The 20,031-nt window shown below is 52.4% G+C and overlaps 1 protein-coding gene and 1 pseudogene across 4 annotated transcripts in view, besides 5 other annotated features; one reads left to right on the forward strand and one right to left on the reverse strand.

The window, feature by feature from the left end:
• RNU6-841P (RNA, U6 small nuclear 841, pseudogene) lies at positions 946-1,051 on the reverse strand (annotated as a pseudogene).
• Positions 2,087-3,064: an enhancer, noted in NCBI's record as "H3K27ac-H3K4me1 hESC enhancer chr19:50268923-50269900 (GRCh37/hg19 assembly coordinates)". NCBI's record gives its function as "activates a minimal SCP1, AML or CMV promoter by ChIP-STARR-seq in primed H9 embryonic stem cells {active_cell/tissue: H9 hESC(primed)}" and the evidence as "EXISTENCE:reporter gene assay evidence [ECO:0000049][PMID:30033119]".
• Positions 2,087-3,886: a biological region, named in NCBI's record as "hESC enhancers GRCh37_chr19:50268923-50269900 and GRCh37_chr19:50269954-50270722".
• Positions 2,977-3,556: a silencer, noted in NCBI's record as "silent region_10935". NCBI's record gives its function as "represses an Ori minimal core promoter by ATAC-STARR-seq in GM12878 lymphoblastoid cells {active_cell/tissue: GM12878}" and the evidence as "EXISTENCE:reporter gene assay evidence [ECO:0000049][PMID:35858748]".
• Positions 3,118-3,886: an enhancer, noted in NCBI's record as "H3K27ac hESC enhancer chr19:50269954-50270722 (GRCh37/hg19 assembly coordinates)". NCBI's record gives its function as "activates a minimal SCP1, AML or CMV promoter by ChIP-STARR-seq in primed H9 embryonic stem cells {active_cell/tissue: H9 hESC(primed)}" and the evidence as "EXISTENCE:reporter gene assay evidence [ECO:0000049][PMID:30033119]".
• AP2A1 (adaptor related protein complex 2 subunit alpha 1) overlaps positions 3,422-20,031 on the forward strand; it is a 40,114-nt gene continuing 23,504 nt past the window's right edge. For 2 of the 4 annotated variants that reach the window (NM_014203.3, NM_130787.3), the window contains exons 1-4: positions 3,422-3,621; positions 18,178-18,246; positions 18,368-18,510; positions 18,952-19,145. In NM_014203.3, the coding sequence (NP_055018.2) occupies positions 3,555-3,621; positions 18,178-18,246; positions 18,368-18,510; positions 18,952-19,145 (473 nt within the window). In that variant the 5' untranslated portion in view covers positions 3,422-3,554. Of the gene's footprint in view, positions 3,622-16,825; positions 17,132-18,177; positions 18,247-18,367; positions 18,511-18,951; positions 19,146-20,031 lie in introns of those variants that run through there. The other 2 variants (XM_011526556.3, XM_011526557.4) reach the window with 1 other exon arrangement.
• Positions 7,826-8,750: an enhancer, noted in NCBI's record as "H3K27ac-H3K4me1 hESC enhancer chr19:50274662-50275586 (GRCh37/hg19 assembly coordinates)". NCBI's record gives its function as "activates a minimal SCP1, AML or CMV promoter by ChIP-STARR-seq in naive H9 embryonic stem cells {active_cell/tissue: H9 hESC(naive)}" and the evidence as "EXISTENCE:reporter gene assay evidence [ECO:0000049][PMID:30033119]".

The following is a 20,031-nucleotide window of genomic DNA, read 5'->3' on the forward strand; positions in this document are numbered from 1 at the left end:
TGAGACTAAGCGTGGGGTCACACAGCCCTGTGCACTTGTTCTTGATTCTTCATGTAGCTTCCTGGATTTGACAATTGGCTGGGGTTTGAGAGACTGTGGTCGAAGAGGGCTGAGATCCAGACCCTGACCTGGAGGGTCTCATATTCTATGGGGCGTCGGGGTCGGGGGAAAGGCAATATACAGGTAGATCAACAAAAGAAAGCTAGGTGCGGTGGGCCTCGGGGTCAGGGTAGAAGGTGAGGGAGGAGAGGAAGGTAGAGAGTTGGGGCAGGACAGAGGGTGGTATCCCCCTCCCCCGTTTATTTATTTATTATTTTCTTTAATACTTTTTATTTTTTTTGAGACAGAGTCTCTCTCTGTCATGGAGGCTGGAGTTCAGTGGCGCGATCTCAGCTCATTGCAACCTCCACCTCCCGGGGTTCAACCGATTCTCCTGCCTCAGCCTCCCCAGTAGCTGGGACTACAGGCGCTGGCCACAATGTCCGGCTAATTTTTGTATTTTTAGTAGAGACGGGTTTCACCATGTTGGCCAAGTTGGTCTCAAACTCCCGACCTCAAATGGTCCACCCGCCTTAGCCTCCCAAAGTGTGGGATTACAGACATGAGCCACCATGCTCCGCTATAATTTTTTTTTTTTTTTTTTAGATGGAGTCTCGCTCTGACACCCAGGCTGGAGTGCAGTGGCGTGATCTTGGCTCATTGCAACCTCTACCTCCCAGTTTCAAGCGATTCTCCTGCCTCAGCCTCCTGAGTAGCTGGGACTACAGGTACCTGCCACCACACCCATCTAATTTTTTTTTTGTATTTTTAGTAGAGACAGGGTTTCACTGTGTTGGCTAGGCTAGTCTCCAACTCCTGACCTCGTGATCTGCCCACTTCAGCCTCCCAAAGCATTGGAATTACAGGTGTGAGCCACTGCGCCCCGCCCGCCCAAAGTATTTAAAAAATATATGGAACATGTCACAAATTTGCATGTGGTCTTTGCGCAGGGCCCATGCTAATCTTCTCTGTATCGTTCCAATGTTAATACATGTGCTGTCGAAGCGAGCACTGCCCTGCTATTTAGGGACAGACTTTTCCTGTTCTCTTCACACTTCTCAAAAAGACTAGTTCAAACATCACTGCTAATAGACATTTTAAATGCTGTTATCCCCAGGGAGAAAGTACTTCTTCCTGGTCATGAATGGACTCCAGTTCTTGGAACACTTAATCTTTCTATAATAAAGAACTCCTGGCTGGGCGCGGTGTCTCACACCTGTAATCCCAGCACTTTGGGAGGCCGAGGCGGGCGGATCACCTGAGGTTAGGAGTTCAAGACCAGCCTGGCCAACATAGTGAAACACTGTCTCTACAAAAATACAAAAATTAGGCGAGCATGATGACGGGTGCCTGTAATCCCAGCTACTTAGGAGGCTGAGGCAGGAAAATCGCTTTAACTCGGGAGGAAGAGGTTACAGTGAGCCGAGATTGAGTCACTGAACTCCAGCCTGGGGGACAGAGAGAGACTCTGTCTCAAAAAAAAGAAAAAAAAAAAAGGCCGGGCGCAGTGGCTCACGCCTGTAATTCCAGCACTTTGGGAGGCCGAGGTGGGCGGATCACAAGGTCAGGAGATCGAGACCATCCTGGCTAACACGGTGAAACCCCGTCTCTACTAAAAACACAAAAAATTAGCCAGGCATGGTGGCGTGCGCCTGTAGTCCCAGCTACTTGGGAGGCTGAGGCAGGAGAATGGCGTGAACCCGGGAGGCGGAGGTTGCAGTGAGCTGAGATCGCGCCACTGCACCCCAGCCTGGGCGACAGAGCGAGACTCCATCTCAAAAAAAAAAAAAAAGAACTTCAAGTCCTGGGATTAATAATTTTTCTTGTGTTTAATGGGGCTGCTTTATGTTCTTCAGGGGCAAACAGCACCCCCCTCCCATATTAGAAATGGACTCTCCCTGTGACTAAAACAGCTGAGCAATTTCTGTCCTCCTGGAATCCAAAATGGACTTTCCCAGGCCCCATTCCTGGAAACCCAAATGGACGCATCCATTGAGCCTGGAAGGTGGGCTCTTCTCAACCTCCTTTCCATCTCCCAGGATTCAGAATGGCCATTCCAAAGGTCCAGAACACACCCCCAAGGCTCATTCCAGGAATTCTTGGCTTCTGAGATTAGAAAAGGCTGATGGGGTGGAGTTTTGTTCCTACAGGTGACAGAAATGGACTCTTCCAGTTCCCTTTGTCCCAAATTTCTCAATCTCCTGGGGCGTTGGGAGTTCTGGCCGTTTTGCCTTCCCCAAAGCCAGTTTACCAAAGAGTCTCTGGGGAGCTGGGGGTTGGGGATGGAGGCTGGGGCTGGGCCAAAGCAGATTCACCTATTTCTTCTTTTAACAAATGTTGTTGAAACTGTTCAAGGCCAGGTCCCATTCTTGCCCAGAAGGAGTTCCCAGTCTGGAGGAGACAATCAATTTTGGTTTGATATCTGCTACAATGGAGGCTGCCCGAGAGACACTGCGGTTGGACAAAAAAAAAAAGGCAACATATATTGAAAAGTAAGCCAAGATACGGTTTACGTTTATTTCTGCTTTTTCACTTCCAAGCTGTGTGGCCCTGGGCAAGTCATTCGCCCTCTCGACCTAAGTTTTAACTTCTGCTTAATGGGACTAGCCTTGAATTACTGTTTTTCACTCTGAGATTCTAGGTCTCCTGACAACTCAAGTCCCGACACGTTGGCTGCAGAGAAGGGGGGAGGGGAGGAAGGCTTCCTAGAAGAGGATTTCAGCAGTCGGGGGTGACAGTGGAGGGAGAAAGGGAACACGGAGACGCTTGCGCAGTAAACACCGCACGCTCTCTTGCCTCGCCCAACCCCTTCTCTGCAGCAGGGAATTGCAGGCGTCGCTCCACCTATCCCAGCCGAGCGGAGTGACACCCTCCCCTCTTTCCTTCTCTACTGATCTTCGCCTTCCGCCCGCCCCACAGCCGCCCAATGGAGGGCTGAAGTAGGACAGATCTCGCCAATCCGCGACGCCTGCGGGGCAGGTCTACCCGTTCATTGGTCCCAGTCAACCTAAGTCCCGCCTCCTAGGACCGTTCCCCGCCTTCCTTCACGTCCCTCCCTTCCTCCTTGGAGAGCCGCTAGATCCAATCAGTGTTTGACCTGGCCGCGCGGAGGGGGCGGGCCCATGATACGCAATCGAACCCCGCCCGTCTCTCGGGCAACGCCTCCTCCCCCCCCTCCCCAGCTCCCAAACGGAAATAGCGGAACACTGGGCCAATCGTAGCGTCGTGCCTTTGCTTGGCGGCCAATGAGAGAGGAAGTGGGGGAGAAACCCGCCTGTGAGCGGCAGGAGCTCAAGCCAGTGGGCGGCTCAGAGCTCCGGACCGCGGGCGGAGGGGAGGGGCAGGGGGCGGTGCCACGGCCTGCCAGCCCGCCCGCCCGCCCGCCAGCCAGCCCTCCCCGCGGCCGGCTCGGCTCCTTGGCGCTGCCTGGGGTCCTTTCCGCCCGGTCCCCGCTTGCCAGCCCCCGCTGCTCTGTGCCCTGTCCGGCCAGGCCTGGAGCCGACACCACCGCCATCATGCCGGCCGTGTCCAAGGGCGATGGGATGCGGGGGCTCGCGGTGTTCATCTCCGACATCCGGAACTGTGAGCGCGCGGCCGGGGGACACTGGAGACGCGGGGGAGGGGGGAGCGTGAAATTGAGGGGTTTGGGGATCACAGAGGGACCCGGGGGATCAAAAGCCTCTGCGGCCGTATAGGGACAGCATAGATGGGCCCCAGGAAGAACTTTAGAGTGGGGGGCACGTAGGGGCTTGGGGTGTCATAGAGTGCCTCTTGAGGTGACGACACGGAGTAGCTAGAGGGGTCCGGGAGGGCTTGAAAGGGGAGGAAGCCAGTGAGGTCCCGGGGATGGGAGCATAGAGGTGTCCCCTGGGAAAGACTGAAAAGCTGGGGGATCTTACAAACGATGGGGTTAGAGGGATTCCCAATGTAGAGAAGAAGTGAAAGAAGTGTATGGCGGGGGTGCCCTGTGGAGCGATGGAATGGGAAGAGGCCAGAGGGGACCTGGAGGAAGTGGAATGCCGGAAGCCTAATGAAGCAGGGCTTGAGGACCTGGGATAGGGGGTGTCATACAGGGGAAAGGGGTTAGATAGGTCACCGAGGCTCCTGGCCAGTGGTATAGAGGAGGCCTGAGAGTGGTTGAAAGTCCATGAGTTTGGGGCAGGGAGATGATGGGACGGGGAGACTATAAGGACACCCTGGTGAAGGATAGAGGGGCTTCAGGGTGGGAGATTGCCTAGAAGACATGGAAGGCAGTGTGGAGGGGGCTAGAGGGGCAGCTGAGGGGAAAGGAGGGACCCAAGGAACACAGAGGAAAAGAGCTGTCGGTGTAAGGTCTTGGGAGAACCTGTGACAGGGAACGGGGGGCCAGGAAAGAAGAGGACATTAGAGTAGGGGATTGGGGAAAGGGTAGAAGAAGGAGCGCCCAGACCTCAAGGAAGGCGTTGGGTTCTGAAGTGCTTGAGGGGTAGATATCTGGAAAGCTGGGAATAGGGGAAGTCTAATCCCAGAGAGAGGTCAGGGGTCAGGCAGCAGGACAGGCAGGGATCTGAGCCCTTTTCTATTTGACCACAGTAATATGGGGACGGTGGTCCCTGCCAGGAAGAGTTGTCGTGACGATGGGAATCCTGGCGGCAAGTCAGCTCTCAACTCCTGGGAATGGCTGTGGGTGATTGGAGCTGCCAGGAGTCTTCAGAGGCTGCATCCGCATGGGCTCTGGGGTCAGCCAGACTTGGGTTTGCGTTTGAGCACTGCCACTCCCTGGCTGTGTGACCTTGAATGAGGGACTTCACCTCTCGGTTTCCTCATCTGTCAAGAGAGACTGCTGATAGTATCTTCCTGAGGGGCTTGTGACAATGCCCCTCAGGCCTTTCACTCGTTCCAGGCCCCAGATGGAACTTGGCTATTGTTTTTACTCCGTTGGCTCTGAACAGCAGCCCTGTAAAGTACCCAGTGATGGTTGTTGTTTTAGAATTTAACTGTTATGGAAGGATCTGGCATGTAATAGGTGCTCAGGGAACAGGAGGGTGGAAACAGTTGAGTATCAGTTGGAGGAGAAATGATCACTTGTTATGATAAGGGGCGGGGCTATGGGGGTTGTGGAGGAGCTGGGAGCCACTGTTAGCAGACGGGGGCTGCCTCTGTTACCCACCAGGGATGTGACCCTCCACGAGTTGTTTAACCTCTTTCAGGACGTTTTCTTGTCTGCAAACTTCATTCATAACAGTGTCTTGCCTCTGAAGGCTCATTTATTCATTCATTCACTTGACAAATACTTTTTGATTGCTCTAGTGTTGTCCAGGCCCTGTTCTAGGTACTGGGGTGACAATAGTGAACAGAAATTCCTGTTCTTGCTGGTCATGGTGGCTCATGCCTGTCATCCCAGCACTTTGGGGGGCCGAGGTAGGCGGATCACCTGAGGTCAGGAGTTCAAGACCAACCTGGCCAACATGGTGAAACTCCATCTCTACTAAAAATACAAAAATTAGCCAGGTGTGGTGGTGGGTGCCTGTAATCCCAGCTACTCAGGAGGCTGAGGCAGGAGAATCGCTTGAACCCGGGAGGCAGAGGTTGCAATGAGCCGAGATTCACACCATTGCACTCCAGGCTGGGCAACAAGAGTGAAACTCCGTCTCCAAAAATAAAAAAAAAGAAAAAGAAACTCCTGTCCTTGGGAGCTCCCTTCCCCGAGGAAGACAGAACATATGCACAGGGAACACCCTGATATACAACCTCAGGACCTGACTGGTTCTGTGAAGAAAAATAAGGAGGAAATGGTCGGGAGAGGGACTAGGATGGAGAGGGTACTCAGTAGGCCTCGTGGAGGAAGTCATATCTGAGTGGAGCAAGCCCTGTGGATTTTGGAGGAAAGGGGTCCTGGCACAGGGAGGTGCATTCAGAGGTCCTGAGGTTGCGGCATGCTTGACATGTGTTCGAGCGAGAGGGAGAAGGTCAGTGTGGCTGAAGCTGTGGGAGTGAAGGGGAGAGAGGGCGGGTGTGGAGGGGAGTGGGAACAGGATCGGGAAAGGCTTTCTGGGCCATGGTGAGCACTTTGGCCTTTGTCTGCATGAGAATATTTTGAGCAGGGGAGGGATGTGACCGATTGATGTTTTAAGATAATTCCTCTGGCTGCTGTGAGAACAGATTCTAGAGGTAGCCATGGAAGCAGGGAACCAAATTAGGAGGGTGTTGCAGGCCTCTGGGTGAGAGATGGTGCTGGCTTAACAGGGTGAGAAGGGACTGGTGAGAAATGGGTTGGTGATACATTTTTTTTTCCGAGACAGTCTCTGTTGCCCAGGTTGGAGTGCAGTGGCACGATCATACCTCACTGCAACCTCCGCCTCCCAGGTTCAAGCAATTCTCGTGCCTCAGCCTCCCCGGTAGCTGGGATTACAGGCACCCGCCACCACGCTTGGCTAATTTTTGTATTTTTAGTAGACGCAGGGTTTCCCCATGTTGGCCAGGCTGGTCTCGAACTCCCAACCTCAAGTGATCTGCCCGCCTTGGCCTCCCAAAGTGCTGGCATTATAAGCGTGAGCCACTGCACCCAGCCTGGGATACAACTTGAAGGAAAAACTGTCAGGATTTGCAAAGGGATTTGATGATGGGGGTTGGGGAAGGAAAGAGATCGTCCCGTCACTGCAGGACCCCAGAGACGAGCCAGAGGACAGAGGGGAGATGCAGGCTTGGGGCACTGGTAGTAATTTAGCCACAGGAATTAGGGCTGGAGAATCAGGAGCCTTTTCTTAGCAAGCGTATGTTGAACGGCTGGTATGTCTCAAGAATTGTGCTGAATGCTGGGGACACTGGTGAACAGGACAGACTTGTCCACCCCCTCCATGAAGCTCCCAGCCCTGTGGGGGAGAAGGTGCAACATACAAATTGCAGTAGTCCTTCACACTAATACCTGGACACGGATGTTCACTGCAACATTATTCATGATAGCCGGAAAACAGAAACGGGCCAAATGCCCATCAACTGAGAAATAAAGTGTGGTCTATGTAGTGGAATATTACCGGGCCTTAAAAAATAATGACGTCCTGCTACATGCTGCCACAGGGATGGACCTTGAAAACATGACACCAAGTGAAAGAAGCCAGACACAGGAGGCCACGTGTTGTATGATTCCATGTTGATAGAGTATCTTGAATAGGCAGATCCATGGAGACAGAAAGATTAGTGGTTGCCTAGAGTAGGGGCTGGTGGGATGGGGAGTGACTGCTCATGAATGCATAGGTTCTTTTTTTATTTTTTGAGATGGAGTCTCACTCTGTCGCCCAGGCTGGAGTGCAATGGGGTGATCTCGGCTTACTGCAACCTCTGCCTCCCAAGTTCAGGCGATTCTCCTGCCTCAGCTTCCTGAGTAGCTGGGATTACAGGCGTGTGCCACCACACCTGGCTAATTTTTGTACTTTTAGTAGAGACGGGGTTTTTACATGTTGGTCAGGATGGTCTCGAACTCCTGGCCTCAGGTGATCCACTACCCCAGCCTTCCAAAGTGCTAGGATTACAGGTGTGAGCTACCATGCCCGGCAGCATTCAGAGCTTCTTTTGGGTTCATGAAAAAGCCTACAGCTGGACACGGCACATGCTTGTAGTCCCAGCTACTTGGGAGACTGAGGTAGGAGGATCATTTGAACCCAGGAGTTCGAATCCAGCCCGGGCCACATAGTGAAACCTCATCTCTTAAAAAAAAAAAAAAAAAAAAAAAGAAAGGTCCTGGAATTCGATAGTAGTAATGGTTGCACAACATCATGAATGTACTAAAGAACGCTGAATTGTTCACTGTAAAAGGGTCAATTTTATGGTATGTGAATTGTATCTCTTTTTTTTTGTGACAGTCACAAAAATGGCGCGATCTTGGCTCACTGCACCCTCCATTTCCCAGGTTCAAGCGATTCTCCTGCCTCAGCCTCCCGAGTAGCTGGGATTATAGGCGCCCGCCACTATGCCCCGCTGATTTTTGTATTTTTAGTAGAGACAGGGTTTCACCATGTTGGCCAGGCTGGTCTCGAACTCCTGATCTCGAGTGATCTGCCTGCTTCAGCCTCACAAAATGCTGAGATTACAGGTGTGAGCCACCGCGCCTGGCCGTATCTCGATTTTTTTTTAAATGGGGAAAGAATTTGCAGCTGTCCTAAGCCCAGTGAGGAAGAGGGCCATGGTGTTGAGAGAATGGGGATTCTGTGTGGTCAGCGAGCTGCGGCCTGGCTTTGCTTCACAAGAGACCTTTGGAGCTGTGTGGGCAGGAAGTAGGGGAGTTACCTAGGCTGAGGGCAGTGAGAAGAGCTGTGAAGGCAGAGGCGGGGCAAGTGCAAAGGTCCTGACTTCCGGACGCCATGGCGGGCATCTCTATCTAGTCCCAGCTACTCAGGAGGTGGAGGCAGAAGGATTGCTTGAGGCCAGGAATTTGAGACCAGCCTTGGCAACATAGCAAGACCCTGTCTCTCTTTCTTTTTTTTGACAGAGTCTGGCTCTGTCATCCCGGCTGGAGTACAGTGGTGCGATCTCAGCTCGCTGCAACCTCCTCCTCCTGGGATCAAGCTATCCTCCCGCCTCAGCCTCCTAAGTAGCTGGGACTATAGGCACATGCCATCATGCCCAGCAAATTTTTTTGTATTTTTCATAGAGTTTTTTTTTTTTTTTTTTTTTTTTTTTTTTTGAGATGGAGTCTTGCTCTGTCGCCCAGGCTGGAGTGCAGTGGCGCGATCTCCGCTCACTGCAAGCTCCACCTCCCGGGTTCACGGAGATGGGTTTTTATTATGTTGCCCGGGCTGGTCTCAAATTCCTGGGCTCAAGTGATCTGCCTACCTCGGCCTCCCGAAGTGCTGGGATTACAGGAGTGAGGCTCAGTGCCTGGCCCCCTTCTCTATTTTCAAGAATTCTTTTTTTTTTTTGGAAACGGAGTCTCGCTCTGTCCCCCAGGCTGGAGTGCGGTGGTGCGATCTCGGCTCACTGCAAGTTCTGCCTCCCGGGTTCATGCCATTCTCCTGCCTCAGCCTCCCGAGTAGCTGGGACTACAGGCGCCCGCCAACACGCCCGGCTAATTTTTTGTATTTTTTTTTTAGTAGAGATGGGGTTTCACTGTGTTAGCCAGGATGGCCTCAATCTCCTGACCTCGTGATCCGCCCGTCTCGGCCTCCCAAAGTGCTGGGATTACAGGCGTGAGCCACCGCGCCCGGCCCAAGAATTCTTTCTGGAAACAAAAAAAGGCCCTGATGCCCCAGTGAGACCCTGAGAAAAGGGCTGTGTGGCTGGTGCAGAGAGGGATGGGATCTGACGCTGGGGAGTGGGCAGAGGCTAGGTCCGTGTTTGTCCTGAGAGCTCTGGAGAAGGTTTCAAGCAGGAGCGAGGGAAGAGAAGGGCGGAGGGATGCGGAGGAGGAGGTGGGGAGAGGCAGGGCTCAGAGAGCAGCAGAGGGAAGAGTGTGGAGCCAGCCAGCAGGAGGATCTGAAGGGCACAGTGGGGCTATGGGGAAGGGTCTAGAAGGTGAAAGGCAGGCTCTAAGGAGGGCAGGGAGGGCAAATTCTGCAGATAAGGAGGGGGAGAGGTTGAGGCTGGGCCCAGCCCGAGGGCGTGTTCTGTCCTGTCTGCAGCAGGAATACAGCAGAAGTATTATCTCACAGGGAGCAAGGGCTGGGGCTGCCTCCTATCTAGGCAGAGTCTGGCTGGAGTGGGCCTTAGGAGAGTTGGACGAGTGAGCCAATGGGAGCGGGGTGCTGGCTGCACACTGCCCTGAGCTCTTCCATCAGAGCACATCCCACTCCAAATGGTGATCCACTGCAGTGGTGACATCGAGCCCAGGCCCTGGGTCTCACTCCAGCTTTGTCCTCTGTAGGTTCTAGCCCATGGGAGGCCTCAGGAGATGATTGCCAGTTGAATGAATGAATGAATGATGGAACCAGTCTTTCTTGAGTTCCAGCTGGGTGCCAGGCACTGTTCTAGGTGATGGGGCTACAGCAGTGAGCAGAAGTTCCTGCCCTAGGGTGCTCACGTTCTAGAGAGGAGATGGTCCACTACACAGGTGAATATTTTGGGGGCCGGACAGGTGGGAGTAGGTGTTGATGGAAAATGAGGCAAGGAAAGGGCTTGGGGATGGAGTTAAGGATGATGCTCTTATATAGGCTGGTCAGAGAGTGTCGCTGAAAAGGTGGCATTGGAGCAGAGAATCTAACTAAGTGGGGGAATGGTGCATGCATGACTCTGGAAGAGGGAGCTGCCTGTGCAAAGGCCCTGAGGCAGGATTGTGCTTGTAGTGGAGCAGGGACTTAGGAGGAGGAGAGGGCAGCTCCTGCCTTGGAGAGAGAGGACAGGAGAACCGGCCAGAGAGGGAACAGGGTAGATGGTGCAGGCCCTTGTGGGCTGCAGTGAGAACTTTACTTTTACTTCGAACTTGCTGGGAGCCATGGAAGGGGTTTGGAGGAGTGCTGGGGTCTGACTCAAGTTTTCACATGATCCCTCTGGCCTCTGTGAAGAGCACAGGAAGTCAAACAGATTTCAATTTGGTATCCCTTAAGAACGGGACAGATGCAGGCCTGAGCCCCAGCCCCACCCGTTTCCAGCTGGTTATTGTGTGATGGCTTTGGTCCACAAATCCGCATTCAACACCTCCCCTGTGCCAGGCTGCCCTGGGCCCTGGGAACACTGTGGGGACTGAAGCAGCCGTACATCCCTGGCCTCATGGCACTGGTGTTCCGATCCAGGAGGAAATGAACATGCAAACCCTTAATATGTAAGGAGGCAACTCAGGCAGGGTCTTGGTGGCCCAAATAGTTCGCCCTGCTGAGCAGGGGGGCTGACCAGGAGAATGAGAGGGTTTGATTTTGTTATTTACGAAGAATATATTTTCATCACCCAGGAATAGTGATGACCTTGAGAATATGAGTGGTGTAACCCAGCACCAAAATGCAAGCCATATATATGTTGAAATTTTCTTTTTTTTTTCTTTTTTTGAGACGGAGTCTTGCTCTGTCCACGCCCGGCATATGTTGAAATTTTCTTGCCACATTGCAAAAGCAAAACAGGGGCCAGGTATGGTGGCTCACGCCTGTAATCCCAGCACTTTGGGAGGCCGAGGCAGGCGGATCACGAGGTCAGGAGTTTGAGACCAACCTGGCCAACATAGTGAAACTCCGTCTCTACTAAAAATACACAAATTAGCTGGGCCTCGTGGCACACCTGTAGTCCTAGCCACTCGGGAGGCTGAGGCAGGAGAATCGCTTGAACCCAGGAGGTGGAGGTTGCAGTGAGCCGAGATTGTGCCACTGCGCTCCAGCCTGGGTGACAGAGAGAGACTTTGTCTCAAAAAAAAAAAAAAAGCAAAACAGGCTGAGCATGGCAGCTCACGCCTGTAATCCCAGCACTTTGTGGGGCCGAGGCGGGCAGTTTGGTTGAGCCCAGGAGTTTGAGAACAGCCTAGGCAACAAGATCCTGTCTCTCCCCACCACAAAAAAACTTTTAAAATTAGCCACGCATGGTGGCATGCACCTGTAGTCCTAGCTTCTTCGGAGGCTGAGATGGGACGATCGCTTGAGCCCAGGAGGTCGAGGTTGCAATGAGTCAAGATCGCACCACCACACTCCAGCCTGGACAATACAGCAAGACCCTGTCTCCATATATTTTTTAAAAAAGCAAAATAATCAGTGAAATTCATTTTAATATATTTTCTTTACCCTAGTATATCCAAACTATTATTTCAGTGTGTAACCAGTGTTTTTTGAGATGGAGTCTTGCTGTATGGCCCAGGCTGAGTGCAGTGTCAGGATCTCAGCTCACTGCAACCTCTACCTCCCAGGTTCAAGCGATTCTCCTGCCTCAGCCTCCCTAGTAGCTGGGACTACAGGTGTGCACCACCATGCCCGGCTAATTTTTGTATTTTTAGTAGATATGGGATTTTGCCATGTTGGCCAGGCTGGTCCCAAACTCCTGACCTCAAGTGATCCACCTGCCTCGGCCTCCCAAAGTGCTGGGATTACAGGTATGAGCCTGTGTTACCCAGGCTGGTCTCAGATTCCTGGGCTCAAGTGATCTGCCTGTCTCAGCCTCCCAAAGTGCTGGGATTAGAGGCGGGAGGCATTGCACCCAGCCTTCAGAAGGCTTTCTGAGGATTCAGGGCTGCTGGGGCTTGTACAGGAAGCACATCAGGTCTCGGTCTCTGTAGAGGAAATGTCCTTGGTCTAGAAGGCTCTGAAGGCCTTTGCGGTGAGATGCTGGGTGATGCCTGTGTTACCTTCATAAATGCACATTAGTCCCTCCAGGGCAGGGCCCAGGTTTGACAGGATGCCTTTGCTGGTAGTAACAGACCCACCCTGATCTGGGGCTTACATGTTTAGGGAAGGCGTTATCTCCCCTAACCAGAAGCTCCAAGGTAAGGCAGCTCCCTGGCCCCGTCAGCACTTCCCTTGACTCTGCCTTACTCTGCCTGGAGCAAGATGTTGGCCGCCTTCGCACCCGAACACCCCTCACGGCAACAGCCACTGGACGGAGCACGGCCTGCCCCTCCCATGGCCCCCCCCAGCACCTCAGAAAACTCTGGAGAGGCTGCGTGGTCTGGCCCCACCTGCTGTGCTCTTCTCCACCCGCCCCCGCCGCCGCCCGCATCCTCAGACTCTGTGCCTCTTTCATCACCGTCCGCCTGCCTTGCCTCATGCTGTCCTACCTCCAGGCCATTGCACCTGCTGGTCCTCCTGCCTGGAGCGCGCCTCCCCTTGTTTCTGCCTGGTCCATTTCAGCCTCATCTTTTGATCCTCAGATCCCAGCAGCTGTGTGCAGAGAAGCCTTCCCCGTCCCCTGCGCCATTCTCATTTTAGCCTCTCAGCCCCGAAATGTGTATACCTCTTTCAGAATACTTGCCACTGTCCCTGTCTGCCACCACTCCAATCCAGGGATGCCTCGAGAGCAGGGTAGATGTGACTCATCCTTAAGCCTGGCCCCAGAAATCCCATTGTGAATGAGAGAATCCCTTTAAAACTCTCTCACAGGCTTGCTTGCCTCCTGTGACAGTGAGCTCATTCCCCCTGTTGCTGGCCCTGAATGCCGGGTCATTCTTCCCATGATCCTGGTCTGTCAGAGCTGCCTCAGCCCTTTCCCCAGGCACCACCCCAGTAGCACCCATACAGTATCCCTGGGCTCCCTGGCCATCACGGGCCTTTAGATCTTTGCAGAGCTGGGCCTCTGCCAGAGCCCTCCCTTTGGGGCCACAACTGCTCCTGTTTTGAAGACCGAGAGCTTTTCTTCTCTCTCTGAATTCCTTTTTTTATAGCAAATTATACCAGTTATGCAGAAGATAGCATCAAATAGATGTGGACCATTTAAAGCCTATTTAAAGGCCAGGTGCAGTGGCTCATGCCTGTAATCCTAGCACTTTACTTTGGGAGGCTGAGGCGGGTGGATCACTTGAGGTCAGAAGTTCAAAACCAGTCTGGTCAACATGGTGAAACCCTGTCTCTACTAAAAATGCGGAAAAAAAAAAAAGCCAGGTGTGGTGGTGGGTGCCTGTAATCCCAACTGCTCGGGAGGCTGAGGTAGGAGAATCGCTTGAACCTGGGAGGTGGAGGTTGCAGTGAGCCAAGATGGTGCCATTGCACTGTAGCCTGGGTGACAGAGCGAGACTCTGTCTCAAGAAAAAAAGTAAAAATAAAGCCTATTTAAAGAAAAATATACATATATATGCATATTTGTATATATATGTAAATACATTTTAAATACAATTTAAGTAATACTTTAAAAAGAGATTTCCAGCCGGGCGCGGTGGCTCATGCCTGTAATCATAGCACTTTGGGAGGCTGAGGCGGGCGGATCACCAGGTCAGGAGATTGAGACCATCCTAGCTAACATGGTGAAACCCCATCTCTACTAAATATACAAAAAATTAGCCAGGCATGGTGGCGGGCGCCTGTAGCCCCAGCTACTTGGGAGGCTGAGGCAGGAGAATGGCGTGAACCTGGGAGGCAGAGCTTGAAGTGAGCAGAGATGGTGCCACTGCACTCCATCCTGGGCGACAAAGCGAGACTCCATCACAAAAAAAAAAAAAAAGATTTCCTGGCAGTAAGCGGTGGCCCATGCCTATAATCCCAGCACTTCGGGAGGCTGAGGTGGGCGGAGGAGTTGAGACCACCCTGGGCAACATGGCAAAACCCTATCTCTACAAAAAATAGAAAAAAAATTAGCTGAGTGTGGTGGCGCACCTCACAGTCCCAGCTACCTGGGAGGCTGAGATGGGAGGGTCATTTGAGCCCAAGGGGCCAAGACTGCAGTGAGCTGAGATCAAACCATTGCATTCCAACCTCAGTGAAAGAGTGAGACCCCGTCTCAAGAAAAAGAGAGGAAATCTATATATTATAGATATAATAATATGTATTTCTTTAAATGAATACTAGTTAAAGAAATACGTAAATATAAATATATAAGTACATATGATATATATTTCTTTAAATTTAAAGAATATTTAAAGAATACATATACATGCACATATTTGTGTATATATTTAAATCATTTCAAGTACAATTGAGTGAATACACTCGTGTATTAACGATGGGGATATGTTCTGAGAAATGCATCGTTAGGTGGTTTTGTTGTGGTGTGAACATCCTGGAGTGTGCTTACACAAATTGAGATGGTATAGCCCACCACTCACTGAGGCTCTGTGGCGCAGCTTGTTGCTGCTGGGCTGTAAACCTGCACAGTGGCCAGGCGTGGTGGCTTACACCTGTAATCCCAGCACTTTGGGAGGCTGAGGCAGGCAGATCACTTGAGGTCAGGAGTTTGAGACCAGCCTGGCCAACGTGGTGAAACCTCGTCTCTACTAAAAATACACTAATTAGCTGGGTGTGGTGACGCATGCCTGTCATCCCAGCTACTCAGGAGGCTGAGGTAGGAGAATCACTTGAACCCAGGAGGCGGAGGTTGCAGTGAGCTGAGATCACGCCATTGCTCTCCAGCCTGGGCGACAAGAGTGAAACTGCGTCTCAAGATAAAACAAAAAAACCTGCACAGCATGGGACTGTCCTGTAGGCAACCGTGACTCAGTAAGTATTTGTGCATCTAAACATAGAAAAGGAGCAGTCGAAATAAGGCATTAGAATCGTATGGAACCACTGCAGTGTGTGCGGTTTGTTGCTGACTGAAATGTTGATATGCGGGGCAGGACTGTATTGAAATAATACATATTATTTAAATTAAGTAATACATATATTTAAATAACACATATTCTTTAAATATGTGTATACTCTTTATATATACTATATTTATGGTATGCATATGTATATATACGTATTTATGACAAAACCATATATATATAGGCCAGGCATGGTGGCTCATACCTGTAATCCCAGCACTTTGGGTGGCTGAGGCAGGTGGATCACTTGAAGTCAGGAGTTCGAGATCAGCCTGGGCAACATAGTAAGACCTCATTGCTACCAAAAAAAAAAAAAAAAATTAGGGCTGGGCGAAGTGGCTCACTCCTGTAATCCCAACACTTTGAGAGGCCAATGTGGGCAGATCACGAGGTCAGGAGATTGAGACCATGCTGGCTAACATGCTGAAACCCCATCTCTACTAAAAATACAAAAAATTAGCTAGGGGTGGGTGGCAGGCGCCTGTAGTCCCAGCTACTTGGGAGGCTGAGGCAGGACAATTGCTTGAACCTGGGAGGCAGAGGTTGCAGTGAGCTGAAATTGCGCCACTGCACTCCAGCCTGGGTGACACAGTGAGACTCCGTCTCAAAAAAAAAAAAAAAAAAAAATTAGTTGAATGTGGTGTTATGCACCTGTAGTCCCAGCGACTTTGGAGGCTGAGGCACAAGAATCACTGAACCCAGGAGGCAGAGGTTGCAGTGAGCCGAGATTGCACCACTGCACTCCAGCCTGGGCTACAAAAAAAAAAAAAAAAAAAAAAAACAGAAACAGGCAAAATTAATTTTAATAATATGTCTCTATAACCCAGTACACCCAAATTATTATTTCAGCATGTGATCAATACTTTATAATTTGTATTGTTTTATTTAGTTGACACACAAGTTCTCACTGTGTTGTCCAGGCTGGTCTCCAACTCCTGGGCTCAAGCCATCCTCCTGCCTCACATGCGTGAGCCACCACGCCTAGCCCCTATAATTTTTACTGAAATATTTTACATTTTTTCTCCACACTGTCTTCTAAATCCCGTGTATGTTTGCTGTTGACAGCCCCTCTCAGTTTGGAATGGCCACATTTCAGGATCTCAGGAGCCACTGGCTGGCAACTGCTATATTGGATGGTGCAGCGCTAGGGTCCTCTTAGCACTGATCAGGAGGTGCTAATCAGAGGGGCTTCCTGGAGGAGGTGATACCTGAAGTGAGGCTTATGGGAGCTTCCATAGAAGTTGGGAGCAGGGACAAGACAGGATTTCTAGAGAGAAGGATGGCACATATACTTGCTTTCTCAGTCATTGACTCATTTGTTGAATGCACACCCCACCCTGCTGGGGACTACGCCCTGAAGGATGTGGGTCAGAGCAGATCTCTGCCCCTTCCATAACTAGACATTTATAGAGCACCTGCTGTATGCAGGGCACTGCTCTAGGAGCTCCCTCCTGATGCTTACAGTCTGAAGTGGGAGGAAGTTCGACAGTGGAGAGAAATAAAATTGTGACATGGTGAAATGTACCAGAGAGGACTTCTTGAAAAATAACTCTTTAAGCAGAATAATAAAGAATTGACTTTAAGGAAGTGAAACGGAACGGCCTTTCAGGGGTGGCAGGAGCCGAGACCCAAATGATGGGAAGATGACAGGGGAGGGGTGGCCCCAGGAAGAGGGCACAGCTTGTGTGAAGGCCCTTGAGGCAAGAGGATGTGCGTGTTCCCGGAGCAAAATGGAGGCCAGGGGGCCTGGATGGACAGTAGGGGTCTGAGGGGTGACACCGGCAGGGTTGCTGTGACAGGGGCAGAGGACTTGATGGGCCGTGGAGTGGAGCACCCCCAGCTGGCATCACAGAGCCCAGGATATGGAAACACGAGGGAGGCAAGAAGGCTGGAGGGGAGGCTGCTTCACTGACCTGAGCGAGCGAGCATGGGATCTGGATGAAGTGGTCATCGTGGAGGTGCTCAAGACATGTTCTGAAGGTCAAGTTAGGAGGAGGTGGCTGGGCACAGTGGCTCATACCTGTAATCCCAGCATTTTGGGAGGCTGAGGTGGGAGGATCGCTGGATCCCAGGAGTTTAAGGTCACAGTGAGCTATGATTGCACCACTGCACTGCAGCCTGGGCGACAGTCTAAGACCCTGTCTCAAAAATTAAAAGGACGAGGCAGTAGCCCGATTGGCGTGAGGATGTCCAGGTTCTGTTTGGAGGAGAAGAGGGAACGGTAGAACCTGTCAAGGGAGGGATGAAGTCTGGGGTGAGTGGAACAGGGACAGGAGAAGCAGAGAGGGCAGCCGAGAGCATCCAGTCGGATTGTGCTCTGAAGGGGGTGCTGTAGGGCATTGAGGAGCATGGAGGAAGCAGAGACCTGGCCTGCAGGATCAGGGGAGGCTTTCTGTGCTTATTCCACAAGCAGGTCCTGTCAGAGGTGTAGGAATGTCCCAGACAAATTGGGGAGAGGTTGGCAGCCAGAGAACAGGAGGCAGTGGGGACAGGCCACGCGGGAGAGGACAAAGCCATGGCTGTGGGGACAAAGGGGGTGAGGACAGCACCCAAGGGTCTGACCTGGTGACTGGGTGGACAGTGGGACCTTCATGGGATTGAGAACTGGAAGAGGCAGTGAGCTCAGTGGTAGGGGTGAGCACCCTGCGGCCAGCCAAGCTCTTTATTCATTCATTCATTCATCACATGTTCATCGCATGTGGGGAGTGGGGACAGGAGCTCTCAGGGAGCGTGTCTGGGGCCCTGAGGAGCCCCACAAATCAGGGGCCACAGTGGTAGGAGGAAGGAGAGAGGAAGTCAGGGACAGCCCAAGGGTGTGTGCTCTGTGCTGTGGGGCTCAGCCAGCGGTGGTTCTTCCCTCTTTGAAACTCCCAGCCAGAGAAGGGGTCCTGGCCTGTCCTGAGCCCCAGGGCTTGGGGGCGGAGAAGATCTGCCCTTCCTGCTGGGTGGGGCCGCGCCTAGGAAAGAGAGGGCAGGTGGCTGACTCCCCAGACCCCTCACTGCCTACCCTCCTCCTCCTCTCCCAGGTAAGAGCAAAGAGGCGGAAATTAAGAGAATCAACAAGGAACTGGCCAACATCCGCTCCAAGTTCAAAGGTAGGCTGGGGGCCCAACTTCTGGTTCTGAGGGAGGAGGGGGCTGGGAGCTGGGGCTCCTGTGACCTATCCTGTGACCCTTCCTTATTTCTGGCTCCCCTTTCCTCCTTCCTCTGCCCTAGGAGACAAAGCCTTGGATGGCTACAGTAAGAAAAAATATGTGTGTAAACTGCTTTTCATCTTCCTGCTTGGCCATGACATTGACTTTGGGCACATGGAGGCTGTGAATCTGTTGAGTTCCAATAAATACACAGAGAAGCAAATAGTGAGTCTGGAGAGGGGGGTGCCAGGGCCTGGACTCCTGGGTCTGCGGGGGAGGGGGCTGGAGGTCTGGACTCCTGGATCTGGGGGAGGAGGGGGTCTAGGGGTCTGGACTCCTGGGTATGAGGGAGGAGGGGGTCTGGGGCTCTGGACTGCTGGGTCTGAGGGAGGAGGGGGCTGGGGGTCTGGACTCCCCATTCTGAGGGAGGAGGGCTGGAAGCCCAGACTCCTGGGTCTGAGGGTTGAATCTGGGGCCTGGACTCGTGGGTCTGAGGGAGGAGGGGCCTGGGGGCCTGGACTTGTGGGTCTGAGGGAGGAGGGGCCTGGGGGCCTGGACTCCTGGGTCTGAGGTTGAATCTGGGGCCTGGACTCCTGGGTCTGAGGGTTGGATCTGGGGCCACTCAGTCACAAGGCTCCTAGCCATCCACGACCTCCCTCCCCACAGGGTTACCTGTTCATTTCTGTGCTGGTGAACTCGAACTCGGAGCTGATCCGCCTCATCAACAACGCCATCAAGAATGACCTGGCCAGCCGCAACCCCACCTTCATGTGCCTGGCCCTGCACTGCATCGCCAACGTGGGCAGCCGGGAGATGGGCGAGGCCTTTGCCGCTGACATCCCCCGCATCCTGGTGGCCGGGTAAGGCACTGGGGACCCGTTGGCAGTGGGGGGCCTGGGGGTGATGAGTCCCAGCCAAGTGTGAGGCTCAGAGAGGCTCTGTTGCCTGCCCAAGGTCTCCCAGCCGAGATGTGGGCTAACGCTGGGCTGGGGACCCAGTGGTTCCGGTGGCAGCCCCATACTTGTCTCTTCCCGTGATACGAAGCTGACTTGATGGTGTGAGGCTGCTCCCGGCAAAGCCAGTGGGGTGTTTCTGAACTGCAGAATTCTAACACCTACGATAAGAGGCGTAACTGTGCTATGTGGGTGACGGCCCTCCAGAACTTCCTCATCTTCTCCATTCATTCACCAAACATTTACTGAGCACATACTATGTGCCAGGCACTGTGCTGATTGCTGGGGATGTTGTATTGTCCAGAGATGGACACGGTCATTGCCCTCCTGTGTTCATGGTCTGGAGCAGGAGACAAATGGTGATGGAAGAATTGCAGGATGAAGTGTAGAATTTGCCAGGTGCGATGGCTCATGTAATCGCTGCATTTGGGGAGGCTGAGGCAGGTAGATTGCTTGAGTCTAGGAGTTTGAGACCAGCCTGGGCAACATGGCAAAATCCCAATCTCTACTAAAAATACCAAAAATTGCCAGGGCATGGTGGCGTGCACCTATAGTCCCAGCTACTCGGGAAGCTGAGGTGGGAGGATCTCCTGAGCTGGGGAGGCCTAGGCTGCAATGAGTTGTGGTTGCGCCAGTGTACTCCAGCTTGGTGTGCACACAGGTGAGACTTCTATTTCTGGCAGTGTGGTCAGCTAGATACCCGACTCATGTTCTCCCTGAAACCTAACTGTCAATATTGGATAAAAGAGGAAAGACAATATTATTTAATGGATTCATGAGGTAGCCAGAAAAT

This window comes from Homo sapiens, chromosome 19, assembly GCF_000001405.40.
Source record: "Homo sapiens chromosome 19, GRCh38.p14 Primary Assembly".
NCBI classification, from domain to species: Eukaryota; Metazoa; Chordata; class Mammalia; order Primates; family Hominidae; genus Homo; species Homo sapiens.